Below are 15236 nucleotides of genomic sequence, written 5' to 3' on the forward strand. Positions count from 1 at the left end.
AAATAGGGAATCCTTTCCCCATTGCTTGTTTTTGTCAGGTTTGTCAAAGATCAGATGGTTGTAGGTATGCGGCATTATTTCTGAGGGCTCTGTTCTGTTTCATTGATCTACATCTCTGTTTTGGTACCAGTACCATGCTGTTTTGGTTACTGTAGCCTTGTAGTATAGTTTGAAGTCAGGTAGCATGATGCCTCCAGCTTTGTTCTTTTGGCTTAGAATTGACTTGGCAATGCGGGCTCTTTTTTGGTTCCATATGAACTTTAAAGTAGTTTTTTCCAATTCTGTGAAGAAAGTCATTGGTAGCTTGATGGGGATGGCATTGAATCTATAAATTACCTTGGGCAGTATGGCCATTTTCATGATATTGATTCTTCCTACCCATAAGCATGGAATGTTCTTCCATTTGTTTGTATGCTCTTTTATTTCCTTGAGCAGTGGTTTGTAGTTCTCCTTGAAGAGGTCCTTCACATCCCTTTTAAGTTGGATTCCTAGGTATTTTATTCTCTTTGAAGCAATTGTGAATGGGAGTTTACTCATGATTTGGCACTCTGTTTGTCTGTTATTGTTGTGTAAGAATGCTTGTGATTTTTGTATATTGATTTTGTATCCTGAGACTTTCCTGAAGTTGCTTATCAGGTTAAGGAGATTTTGGGCTGAGACAATGGGGTTTTCTAGATATACAATCATGTCATCTGCAAACAGGGACAATTTGACTTCCTCTTTTCCTAATTGAATACCCTTTATTTCCTTCTCCTGCCTAATTGCCCTGGCCAGAACTTCCAACACTATGTTGAATAGGAGTGGTGAGAGAGGACATCCCTGTCTTGTGCCAGTTTTCAAAGGGAATGCTTCCAGTTTTTGCCCATTCAGTATGATATTGGCTGTGGGTTTGTCATAGATAGCTCTTATTATTTTGAGATACGTCCCATCAATACCTAATTTATTGAGAGTTTTTAGCATGAAGGGCTGTTGAATTTTGTCAAAGCAAAAGAAGACATTTATGCAGCCAAATAACACATGAAAAATGCTCATCATCACTGGCCATCAGAGAAATGCAAATCAAAACCACAATGAGATATCATCTCACACCAGTTAGAATGGCGATCATTAAAAAGTCAGGAAACAACAGGTGCTGGAGAGGATGTGGAGAAATAAGAACACTTTTACACTGTTGGTGGGACTGTAAATTAGTTCAACCATTATGGAAGTCAGTGTGGTGATTCCTCAGGGATCTAGAACTAGAAATACCATTTGACCCAGCCATCCTATTACTGGGTATATACACAAAGGATTATAAATCATGCTGCTATAAAGACACATGCACATGTATGTTTATTGCAGCACTATTCACAATAGCAAAGACTTGGAACCAACACAAATGTCCAACAACGATAGACTGGATTAAGAAAATCTGGCACATATACACCATGGAATACTATGCAGCCATAAAAAATGATGAGTTCATGACCTTTGTAGGGACACGGATGAAACTGGAAACCATCATTCTCAGCAAACTATCGCAAGGACAAAAAACCAAACATCACATGTTCTCACTCATAGGTGGGAATTGAACAATGAGAACACATGGACACAGGAAGGGGAACATCACACTCTGGGGACTGTTGTGGGGTGGGGGGGAGCGGGGAGGGATAGCATTAGGAGATATACCTAATGTTAAATGATGAGTTAATGGGTGCAGCACACCAACATGGCACATGTATACATATGTAACAAACCTGCACATTGTGCACATGTACCCTAAAACTTAAAGTATAATAATAATAAAATTAAAAAAAATTGAATAGTTTTTTAACATGTATTTTGAACAGCATTTAAAATTAATATCTGTGGGAAAGTAAGTCAGTACAGATTCCTGAAATTTCCAGAATCTGAGACCTTCTTTGAGGAATCCCTGTTGAATAATATTATGTGATATTTCTCATTACAAATGTATATTTGTGATGCATAACAAATTCCTCCAAAATGTAGCTGCTTAAAACAACAAGGATTTATTATCTCACAGTTTCTGAGGGTCGGAAATTCAGGTGCAACTTAATTTGTGTCCTCTGCCTCAGGATCTCCCACAAAGCTGCAATCAAGGTGTAGACCAGGTGCAGTCATCTCAAGGCTTGACTGGGAGAAATCAATCTGAGTTCACTCATGTGGATATTGGATGGTCTTACAAGAGCTACTCCTGTGCTCGCTCACAGGGATGCCGACAATCTGAAGTCCTCAGTGTATTTGGTTGGAGGTATCAGTGCCTTGCCACATAGTCTCTTAAGTAAGTTTACTCAAAACAAGGCAGCTATCTTCCTCCAGATTGAAGCCTCCAGGGGATAGTGAGCCAGATGGAATCCAGTCTTTCTGTAATCTAATCTCCAAATCAACACCTTGCTATTTTTACTGTATTTTATTTGTTAGAAGAGAGTGTCACTAGGTCTAGCCCATATTGAAGGAGCGAGGACTACACAATGACATGAATCATCAGAAGTCATCTTAGGACAGACCCCCAGGTGAGAGATATATACACACATCATGCAGTATTCTTTCAAGGAGTCCCTGTGGGGAGGGAGAGTGTATGTATTTTATAAATATAATATGTAATATATATGTGATATATAATATATATGTGATATATAATATATATGTGATATATAATACATATATATGTGATACGCACACACAAACATATATAACATTAGGCTGGAGTTCATACAGGAGGAGCATCCATTGTATGACCTTCCTGCAATTACTAGAACCTAAAACCCTTTTGAGGCATTTTCTGTTGAATACAATCATATTTCCCATTACTTATGATTACTATTTATTTTCTTTAATGGCATAAAATACATGATTACTATTTCCCCTAAAACTTCTGTGTTAGTGGGCTGTGATATAGTTATCCCATTGGTGCCTCTGTCGAGACCAGTTTGCAGAGTCATAGAAAAAATTATATATTGATAATACCTCTTTTGACTTTATATATGCCTTAATAGCTAAAGTCAATAAACTCATTAGACTGTATTAATGTATTTTTTTTTTACAAATTTGCTTATTTTATTGTTCTTTCATTTTTTTCTTCAGGGAGCAATCATGCTCTAATGGTGATATATAATTTGTCTAGTGAAGAAATGAATAAAGAGTGGAAAAATTAATGACCTTATTAAACTAAAAGTCTTTTTGTAGGACAGCCAACTGCAGCTAGGCTAACATGTATAGTATTTCTGTGTGTTTGTGTATAATTTAATAGGCTTTAACCATTAGCTGTATGTCTTACATACATACATGTAATTTTTATAACTTTACTAACTTTATATTTAGTACTCCAGGTTACTTCTACTTCAGTTCAATAACTATTCATGCTAATGTTTGATGGGTAACAAATCTGATAATTTACTGGATATTTCACAAAAATTGGTTCAGGAACAGGATTAATAAGTGGTTATACATATATATTTATAGTTTATTTCTAGTACATAAAAACAAGTATATTTTTTTGAAGCACAATGGATTGGATGAATGGCTTGTAATTGAAGTCACATTGAAGGGATCACCAATTCTGTGAATCTCCATAGATATAAAGTTATCTGTGATTATTGACATTAGAAAAGCTGATTACTCAAGATGTGCTTTAGTTTCTGCCTCTGTAAATTAAGGCTAATAACACTTCTTTCCTACCATCACTAATGGGTATTGAGAATTAATGAGTTAACATTTGCTGAGTTTTTTTGAACTCCTCAAAGGTATTATTAACATTTTAAACTTAGTCTCAAACTGCTTCACACATTCTTAGAAACAATTTCCCTAATTTGCTATAATAAAAAATAGCAACATTAGTTTTTTTGGGGAGAATATTTTCTGTAGCTTAGTTTTAATTACTGCAAGACAGCTTAGATTTGAAAAAAAAAACAAAGTTGATAGTATACATGTGAGAGTTTTTTTAATATTTGATACCATTACTTTTCATTTTGACAGAGTGTTAATTTATAACATATAGTCCCTAAAATTCCTCACCTACTGGTGGACTGAGCTGTTGTAGAATGTTGTTGTTGTTGTGTGTGTAGGCTCTTATACAGAGTTATTTTTAAAAGCCAGTGCTTACCCAGAATATCTCGGGCTTCCCACCAGTACTGCATCGAACTTGGAAACACTCTTGAATCTTCTCTTCTGTTTCTTTGGCTTGTTGCTACCACGGCTGTCTATTCAGTCCCTTGGTCTCATTGCCCAAGATGTAGTCTGAATAAAGGAGGGAAACTCTAGTGTCCTCAGAGACAGAGGTGAAAGATGGAGGGAGGAAAAAGGGCAGGTTGGGAAGTTGGATATAAAAGTAAATACACATGACTTTGCTCACTTTACTTCGCTCCGGAGGCTCTCATGTCTGGTCATTTTTTTTTAGATGTCTCTGGTCTGATTCTATTTTTTATACTACCTAGTGATCATGTTTCTCATCCCAAATCTCCCCTGTGGCTCTAGTTTCTGACATGAAAGTTACAAAATCAGGAGGAGTCTGAATCTAGACATTTCTTTGATGTATTGTTATGTTTTATCTAAATCTCGTATGTAGGGAGGAATAAGGTCTTAGTATCTGTGTGAAGGGCATGTGAATGGGATTTGGGCAGAAGCTAGCCATCTTTCGTGTTACATCTGACTTAATTTATTGCTTTATTGTAGAGCACTTTATTGCAGATTGTCTCTATATTTGTTTAATATCCAATTTGAGATTCAAACATAAGCTCCGTGAGACCTGAATCCATATTTTATTTCCTAATGAGTCGTTTGAAACTAGCTGAGGGCCTAGTAAATAATAGTTATCCAAGCATGTTTTCATGACTGGAGGAACATTTTACAAAATAACCACTTCTTTTTCAGTCAGTTTTCCCACCTCCCACTCCCCACTTTTCCCCATCTATCTACATGCATACATATTGATACCACACCTACCACTCGCTAAAGAGTGTATCCCTCTCTCTCCCTTCTCCTTGCCTCTGACTCAGGCATAGGGGGAAATCATCATTTGCCCTAAGCTATGTGTAGCGAGTGGCATAGAAGCCTAAAATAAGGAGAACAGAAGAGCAGGGACCTAATGGGCAGCAATGGAACTTTACGGATGTGAGGAATCATGAGTTTTCTTACTTTTTCTCCATTTTCCTAGGGTAATTTATTTGTGTATTATTAATATTGTACTGAAAAACAATTCTCTGCTTACTTCCTATTCCTAAACTGAGTCCTGGGAATGTCATGTTAGTTCTTCCTCGACATGTTGCCACTTTTGCTTTTGTCTTGGAATTCTCACTACCATGACATACCATAGAACAGAAGTGCATTATAGCTTTTGTCAACAAAGTAAATGAAACACATAGCATACCATAATCCCTTAAGCATATTTATATGTAAGACTCTTAATACAAATGAGAAAAAGGAATCTTAAAAAGGGTCAGTCCATGCATTCACAAAAAAAAATGTTAATAGTCATCGACTTTTCAGAGATAAAATAGAGGATTTTGTGGGAGGGTAAGGTGATTGGGGAAATAATGCAACGCCAATTTGAAAAGGAGGAAAGACACTTAAGGTTGGTGTCTGGATCTCTCAGTATTTCCCAGCTCAAGTTTTACACCATGGCTGGCCAATAAAAGGGGTGCCAATTAACCAGAGGAATGCTGAAATCAGTGCTACTGTCTTAGAAGTCCTAATCAGCCACAAGATGTGGAGTCATCCCCTTTAATATTTAAACCACAGCAGTGTATCACAAAGCTGCACTTCTAGAACTAATAACTAGCTACATGTATAACCTGCTGTCTTCGTTTTATTAATCTCATAAGATACAACTACACATCTTATATGACTTTTGGACATCAGTTATTTTGTTAGAGCTAGTTTTTATTACAACTACAAGTGTGATAATAGTAACAAAAGGAATATATCAATATAGTATTGAAGTGTATTTCATGGGGCCTAACATTGGTTGAGTTAGTATTTCACCTGGTCAGTTCTATTTTGAGTTGAGTTAAATTTACGATGTCACTTAGGAAGGCAATCGTTTCATGCAGTATTTTTTAAAAGAAAATATATTGTGAATGCAAAACCATTGATGAAATGTGGTACATATACACCACGGAATACTATGCAGTGATAAAAAAGAAAGAAATCACGTCCTTTGTAGGTACACAGATGGAGCTGGAGGTCGTTATCCTTAACAAACTAATGCAGGAAGAGAAAACTAAATACTGCATGTTCTCAGTTATAGGTGCAAGATAAATGACAACAACACATGGACTCATGGAATGGAACACACAGTGGGGCCTCAGTGGGTGGAGAGTGGGAGGAGAGAGCGAATCAGGAAAAACAACTAATGGGTACTAAGCTTAATACCTGGGTGATGAAATGATCTGTACAACAAACTCCCATGACAAAATTTTGCCTGTGTAACAAACCTGCACATACACCCCTAAACTTAAAATAAATGTTAAATAAAAGAAAATGTCAATTGTGGAATTCTTTGGCTCATTATTATGGCCCATTTAATCACAGGCCAAATAAAAAGTTCTTTACTAAACACAAAACTTGCATTATACGATGTTTGGCTTAAATAATGTTCCCTAATACTAGCAAAAACTCAGCATCAGGTCCTCAACCATATTTGGGTAAGTAAGATATAAGCATAGTTTGTAAAATGGTACTTCTTTGTTTAATCATCTTTTAAAAATTTTAAGTGTTAAGATTGGCTTTACACCTAAACATTCACTTTGAGATATTCAAAGATTTTAATTTTTCTGCCTTAAGTAAAAAAAATATGGCAGAAAACATTGAAGGGAATCAGCTAATGTGATATGGTGCTTTTAGAAAACTGTATTATTTGGCAATCGTTGCTTATTTCTGTCCTTATTTTCTGTGTTGCCTAACCAGGAAAGTGAAGTCTTAACAGCTCGGGCGATGTGGATTTGTGAGGGTATTTTCTGGGCTGTTGTGGCTGCCGCAGCTGCTGCTGGCTCATGAATCTTTCTAGCATTGCAGATACCTAGACTTGATCCTGCAGAGTAATTGAAGTGGTCAGATGCTTCTCCAGCTCTGGCTTATTATGAGCTTCTGTAAGACAATGTAGGAAGGCAACAATAACTTTCCAGACTACTTCTTCCTTGCCAGCTAAAAGCATGTGCCAGAATAGATTGTAGATGCATGAGAGTCTTTGTTATAGTGACAAATAGATCTTAAGGAAGGGCTATGAGTTGAGAATAATTGCTAATTGAATTGATATGTCATATCTTTTCCAAGTCATTCTTTTGTACCACATTAGTGGATGACTTAAGTAGCAGTGCTCTCAAAAAGAGTGCTTCTTTAGCCCGTCTATCGCTACAAATTTATGCCTCAATCCTTCTTTCAAGCCACTTGTTCAGTCTCGTGCAAAGAAACTGTTTCAAAGGAAGCACTGATTTTTATTGGAAACAATGGAATCCAATTTCATTTAAAGTAAGGATATGTCTCATGTTAGCAGGGCTTTATCATTATTACTTTCAAAATTTATATTTCCTGTGATTATTTTGTGAATAAATTGTCATTCTTTTTGGGCTTAGCTATCATTATAAATACACATTCAATTTTTTCTTAAAGAAAATATTGGAGAGTAGAACTGTGATCGAGCTCATCAACACTGAATAATATTTACTAAAAGATTAATCAAAACATGGTTGGAAATATATAATGTTTTTAATTATAATGATAAATATAATTTAGAGACAAAATTATCATCATAACGATAGCATCTAAAAGTATAACAATTCCAGTAGAAATTCAGTTCATTATGAGCAAAACCACCACATTAGTTGGTTGACTGAGAATAGTCAAATGCTACTATCTGTTAATCTGTTCTTTGCCCACTGTCCTAACCTCATTGCTTATTCCGGTTTATGGTAGGAACTAAATAAACATCTGTTGTATAAATAGTGAATGATTTGTCATTATGCCGATCTTTGTAAGTAGCTGAGCAGATACTGCCTAAGTGACTAAACCTCATGTGCTTTATGGTTCTGTTTCCCTGGCTGGCTCTCCCTCTCACTAATTAGCATTATTCTCTTCTCCAAACAACCCTAATGCCCTTATGCCCAATGACCCAATGTCTGATTCACATCTATCGCAGCCAAGCCACATAGCATCAGTTTAGCTTATCTACTTCTCTATTGTTAGCCTCCTCAAATGTCTTTCTCTCTTTTTTCAGAGTATGTACTTATTTCTTCATCAGAGTCCTGGTGTATATCTGCGTGAAATTAAAATATTTCAGAGCAAGACCTAACATTTTCAGTTGCAGTGGTCCTTTTAGACAAGTCCTGGGATTCACATACTATGTACTGTGACACTTTCTTCACCATCCCTTAGTCATGACAAAAAGAAATATGTATATATACATATATACACACACATATATATACACACATACATACATACACACATATTCACATATATATTCATATATATATATATAAAGTTTCTTAGAGGCAAGAAGAGAAGAAAATAGGAAAAAACCTTTATTTTCTCAATTGCATAGAATATAATCAGAATTTTGAACTACAATATTACTCCCAAATATATGTGACATTAAATTTTGCCCACTTCTTTTACTCCCTGATAGGTAGCTAACAAGAGACAAAATTCACTCTGAAAAGCAAAGAGGGTGGGGCATCTCACAAAACAAGAGATTTAACATTGTATAATTTCTTGTGGTTACTATGTAGTTCTAAATGGTAGATGGCTGTCTTATCCATTTGGACTGTTGTAACAAAATACTATAAACTGATGGATGGCTTACGAACAATAGAAAATTATTTCTCACAGTTTTGGAGGCTGGAAAAGTCTAAGATTAAGGTGCCAGCATATGTGGTGTCTGGTAAGAATCCACCCTTTTTTTTTTTCACAGATTGCTGTCTTTTCCCTGTAACCTCATCTAGAAGAAAAGATGAGGGAGCTCTCTGGGGCCTCCTTTATAAGGAAACCAATTCCACCCTCTAAAAGTCTTACCCCTCAAAAGTCTCACCTCCAAATACTATCACGCTGGGGGTTAGGACATAAACATTCAGTCTATGGCAATGCCCTTCTAATAATTAGATTTTAGATAATGAGATAATAATATAAATAATTAGATTTTTCTGATTTATACTCAAACTTCATTTTAACATTGACTTTTATTTTTTTAATTAGTGTAATAATTTACACACCAATTCTCTTTAGAAAATCAAGAATTAAACACATATATTTCTGTATGTGTGTTTATACATACACAAAATACATATATATTTTTTAAATTGGTCATTTATATTATTAATATTTATATCAACATGTTAATATATGTTAATATTGTTAACATAATATTTTATGTTACAAATACTATGTTTCATATGACAGGTGTTCCATCATCTTTTACATGACAAAAACAATTATTTTCATGTAACAGGTACCATGTTAAATGCTTCAAATTTATTATTTCACTTAATCTTTGACATGGGCATCTGATTTTTAGAGATTACTGAAAAAAGAAGAGCTGGTATCATTCCTACTGAAAGTATTCCAAAAAAGTGAGGAGGAGGGACTACTTCCTAACTCATTCTATGAGTGCAGCATCATCCTGATACCAATGCTTGGCAGAGATTCAACAAAAAAAGAAAACTTTAGGCCAATATCCTTGATGAACATCAATGAAAAAATCCCCAACAAAATACTGTCAAACTGAATCCAGCAGCACACTGAACAGTTCATCCACCACAGTTAAGTGGGATTTATTCCTGGAATGAAAGTTTGGTTCAACATATGCAAATCAATAATGTGATTTATCACATAAGGAGAACTAAAGACAAAAACCATATGATTTTCCCAATACATGCATAAAAGCCTTTCAATGAAATTCAATATCAATTCATGTTAAAAACTCTCAACAAACTAGGTGTTGAAGGAACATATCTCAAAATAATAAGGGCCATATATGACAAACCCACAGCCAACATCATACTGAATGGGAAAAAGCTGGAAGCATTCCCATTGAAAACTGGCAGAAGAGAAGGACGCCCTCTCTCAACCATTCCTAGTCAACATAGTATTGGAAGTTCTATTCAGGGCAATCAGGCAAGAGAAAGAAATGAAGGGAGGATGTCAAACTGTCTCTCTTTCCAGACAACATGATGCTATATCTAGGAAAATTGATAGTTTCAGTACAAAAGCTTCTAAAGCTGATAAATAACTTCAGCAAAGTCTCAGGATACAAAATAAATGTGCAAAAATCACTAGCATTCTTATACACCAAAAAAAAAAAAAAAAAAAAAAAGAAAAAGTAAAGCCAAGAGCCAAAACAGGAACAATTCACAATTGACATGAAAAGAACAAAATACCTAGGAATACAGCTAACAAGGGAGGTAAAAGATCTCTACAAAGATAGCTACAAACCACTGCTCAAAGAAATCAGAGATGACATAAACAAGTGAAAAAACATTCCATATTCATAGATAGGAAGAATCAATATTGTTAAAATGGCCATACTGCCCAAAGCAACGTATGGATTAAATGCTATGGCTATTAAACTACCATTGGCATTCTTCACAGAACTAGAGAAAACTATTTTAAAATTCATATGAAACCAAAAAAGAGCCCGAATAGCCAAGGCAATCCTGCGCAAAAAGAACAAAGCTGGAGGCGTCACACTACCTGACTTCAAACTCCATTACAGGGCTACAGTAACCAAAACAGCATGTTACTGGTACAAAACCAGAAATGTAGACCAACAAAACAAAATTGAGAACCCAGAAATAAGATCGTACACCTACAACCATCTGATCATTGACAAAACTGACAAAAACAAGCAATGGGGAAAGGATTCCCTATTAAATAAATGGTACTGGGATAACTGGGTAGCCACATGCAGATGATTAAAACTGGACCCCTTCCTCACATCTTATACAAAAATTAACTCAAGATGGATTAAAGGCTTAAATGTAGAACCAAAAACTATAAAAACCATGGGAGACAACCTAGGTAATACTATTCAGGACATAGGCAAGGGCAAAGATTTCATGATGAAGATGCCAAAAGCAATTGCAACAAAAGCAAAAATTGACAAATGAGATCTAATTAAGCTAAAGAGCTTCTGCTTAGCAAAAAGTAACTATCAACAGAGAAAACAGACAACCTACAGAATGGGAGAAAATTTTTGCAAACTATCTATCTGACAAAGATCTAATATCCAGCATCTATAAGGGACTTAAATTTACAAAAACATTAAAAAGTGGGCAAAGGACATGAAAAGACACTTCTCAAAAGAAGACATACATGTGGCCAGCAAGCATATTAAGAAAAAGCTCAACACCACTGATCATTAGAGAAATGAAAATCAAAACGACAATGAGATACCATCTCATACCATTCAGAATGGCTATTATAAAAAAGTCAAAAATAACAGATGCTGTCAAGGTGGTGAAGAAAAAGGAACGCTTATAGACTGTTGGCGGGAGTGTAAATTAGTTCAACCATTGTGGAAGACAGTGTGGCAGTTCCTCAAAGAACTGAAGATAGAATTTGCCCCAGCAATGCCGTTACTGGTTATATACCCAAAGGTATATAATTATATTGTAAAGACCCATGCACATGTATGTTTATTGCAGTATTGTTCAAAATAGTGAAGAATATGGAATCAACCTAAATGCCCATCTATGACAGATGGTATATGGAGAATGTTGTACATATACACCATGGAATACTATGCAGTCATAAAGAAGAATGATACCATGTCTTTGCAGAGACAAAAATGGAGCTGGAGGTCATTATCCTTAGGAAACTAACACACAAACAGAAAACCAAATACCACATGTTCTCACTTATAAGTGGGAGATAAATGATGAGAACGCATGGACACACAGGGTGGAACAGCACACCGTGGGGCCTATTGGAAGGCAGAGGGTGGGAGGAAGGGGAGGATCAGGAAAAATAACTAATGGATACTTAGCTTAATACTTGGGTGATGAAATAATGTGTACAACCACCCTCCATGACACAAGTTTACCTCTGTAACAAACCTGCTCATATACCCCTGAACTTAAAATAAAAGTTAGGAAAATAAAAATAAAAGTGGTTCTGGCAGAAAGACAGGCAGACTCTAAGCTAGTCCTAACCTAAGTAGAGGTTGAAATATATTAGAGTGGTGGTGTATACGAAAACTGAAAGAGCTGAACTCTATAATAAAGTACAAAGTTTTGGGCTCAAATTGCCAGGGAAGAGAGTCCTATTTCTGAATTTGACACTGAGAATCACCTTTCCCCAAACAGCTACGATAAGGGGCTCCATGTTAGCACTTCCCATAGCAACTGAGAAAGAAGAGTTCACCTATGCAACTGTTTTGGACTCCTCCTCCTCTGGCACAGCCTGGCTGACATGAACAGTGCTTCACTACCTCACAGCCCAATTCGTCCATGGCTGATGAAACGTTAGCCTCAATCCAAGAACTACTTGTCCCCTGAAAAGACTTCCCATGTCTCATATCTGCAAAGTGTCAAGGAGAAGAACATCTTTAATGAGGATTGCCCAGATTGCCCAGAACAGGCTGACTAGAAGCCTGTTCACCGGAAAACACAGAATCATATGCAGCTCAATCACTAAAATTAAGCCACTGCAGGGGGGCTAGGATTATTGGGAATGTCTGACTTCATCCAGCTCCAGAATTCTGGCTCTAGCTTTCCATGTCCTAGTTACAACTGGATTTCTGACAATTCTGACCCAGTCAGTTCACAAAATTAAACTTTTCAGATCTGGATTCTCTCCTCAATGCATCCATATACAGGACTGGGAGACCCATGGATGCATAATGGCTAAAAAGAGGAACTTTGACAAAAGATAAACTGGCTTTGTCATCTTGTGGCTAATGCTGGCAAGTAGAGATAAAAACAGCAGAAATATTTTTACACTGTACATAGAATGGAGTGATATAATCTTACTCCAAAATGTTAATAGACATGAATTTTAGGTGGTACTCAAGACCTGGCATAATTTTATTCCTCTCTAACTAATGAAAGTCTCTCAGTTCCTTGCTCTCTGGCCACCGTGAAACATTTTAAATTTTTAAACATGTTATATGCTGCATCAAAATTTCTTGAGACGTTAAATTTTGATTAGTTTTTCTTGATTATTTTTAAACTCACCAAGTTGTCAAGATTTTCTGTTCTCTTGCTTTGGGAGTCGCAAAAACAAAATTTGCAAGCCACTTGCTTTCTTCCATAGCCTGAGTTATTTAAAGGTTTTGTGCAAGGTGAGTAGGGAGGGTAAGCATCTGTAAGGGTGAGGATTTGATGGCTGTTAGTGAGCTCTGCCAATGGAAGGGGCCCATGGCTGGCTTCCTCGTAAGGCCCCGTGGAGGATGTATAAAAAATTTAAGAATGCTGTAACTTGGGAGCCAGGATTCTTTTCCATGAAGTGTTCTCTATGCTTAAAAATGTACAGAATCAGCAGAGCAGCTGGACTTCAAGGTATGACAAAGGCTAGACTACACACATCTTTTTTGTGACTATAATGAACTGAACTGAAAAGGCTTTCCTAGTTAAGGTTCAGGTTAAGATCACTGCTGTCATGTGGCTGAGAGAAATGTGATGGGAAGCCAGGATAATAACAGAGATTGAATCTCCCATTGTCTTGCAGAATTGGAGTATTGGAATCATTTTTAATTTGCTTCAAGGGAAAATAGAAAGTAGTATTTCTTCCTCATCTGAATTTACAGCATAAGCTTGATATGCACATCACTTGCTACTTTCTACCTCAAAGCATGAATGAATCTTTATCTCTCTGGTTCTTATCTGTTAACTACTTTACGGCCTTCACTTAAAAGCCATTTTCTCAAGGAAAGTTTCTGTTACCCTCCTTTCCAGACTGAGTCAGTTCCCTCAATGATAATATTTACTGGCCTTCTGTATTTCTACTTTGTATCATTTATCATAATTTTATTTAAATAATCAATAGTTATTCATAATTTAATATCTTTCTCACTCCTCCTTCTGCAACAATAATACAAGTTCTAGGATATAAGAGCTTAGTCTTTGTCGATTATTGCCCTCTTTCCAAACACCTAGCATAAGTGGTATAATTATGTAGGGCAGGAACTCAATGCATATTGATTGAATGAAAGAATAAATATAGAAGTGAATGGCCTAAAGTAAATTTGACTTGCAGATAAAGATATCTGCATGAAGTTATGTCTGAATGATATTATTTGGGGATAGTAAGAAGAAAATGTCTAAGACAGATTGCAAGACACTTAGAAAATACTGGGATGGCACTGAGCACCAACCAATTTTCCACCAATGGTTCTTGAGAAGGCTGTCTCTCTCATAGACACTAGTCTCCTCAAGCCTGATAGACCCAGACTCCCTGACCACCTGTCACACACACACACAAATACAGAACACACAGGCACACATGCATACACACATACTACTGCTACAACCATCTCAGAGGGTAGAGAGGGATAGTCACCTAAAGAACAGAAAGAAGGGCCAGGTGCGGTGGCTCACGCCTGTAATCCCAGCACTTTGGGAGGCCGAGACAGGTGGATCACGAGGTCAGGAGATCGAGACCAACCTGGCTAACACGATGAAACCCCGTCTCTACTAAAAATACAAAAAAAAAATTAGCCGGGCGTAGTGGCGGTTGCCTGTAATCCCAGCTACTTGAGAGGCTGAGGCAGGAGAAGGGTGTGAACCCAGGAGGCAGAACTTGCAGTGAGCTCAGGTCCCGCCACTGCACTCCAGCCTGGGCAACAGAGCGAGAATCCATCTCAAAAAAAAAAAAAAAAAAAAAAAGAGGAAGAAGACATTATTTACAATAGCCTTGATCATTAACTGGTGATTATATTACTTACTTGTGTGACCCTCTTAAAAATATCTGTTTTATCTACTTAATTGTAAACTCATGATGGGATTGCATAGGTATAATGTAAAATGTAGACACTATGCCTATTTTATTCACTGCTAAATCTCCACTGGCTGCTATGTAGGTGACATCAGTAAACACATGAATAGAAATTAAATACATTTGTTAATAAATGAATGGATATGGTAATAGATCTGGTTGGGTAAATTATTGCCAGCAGGGAAAACAATAAATGAGAAATATACAGTAAGCAACTTAAGGAAAAGATGCTTTTAAGTCAAGAGTAGCAGTTGGTAGCAAATTGGTAACTTGATATGAGTTATATAAATGTCACATTTTTTGGCTAAGTTATT

This window comes from Homo sapiens, chromosome 7, assembly GCF_000001405.40.
Source record: "Homo sapiens chromosome 7, GRCh38.p14 Primary Assembly".
In the NCBI taxonomy this organism is placed as follows: Eukaryota; Metazoa; Chordata; class Mammalia; order Primates; family Hominidae; genus Homo; species Homo sapiens.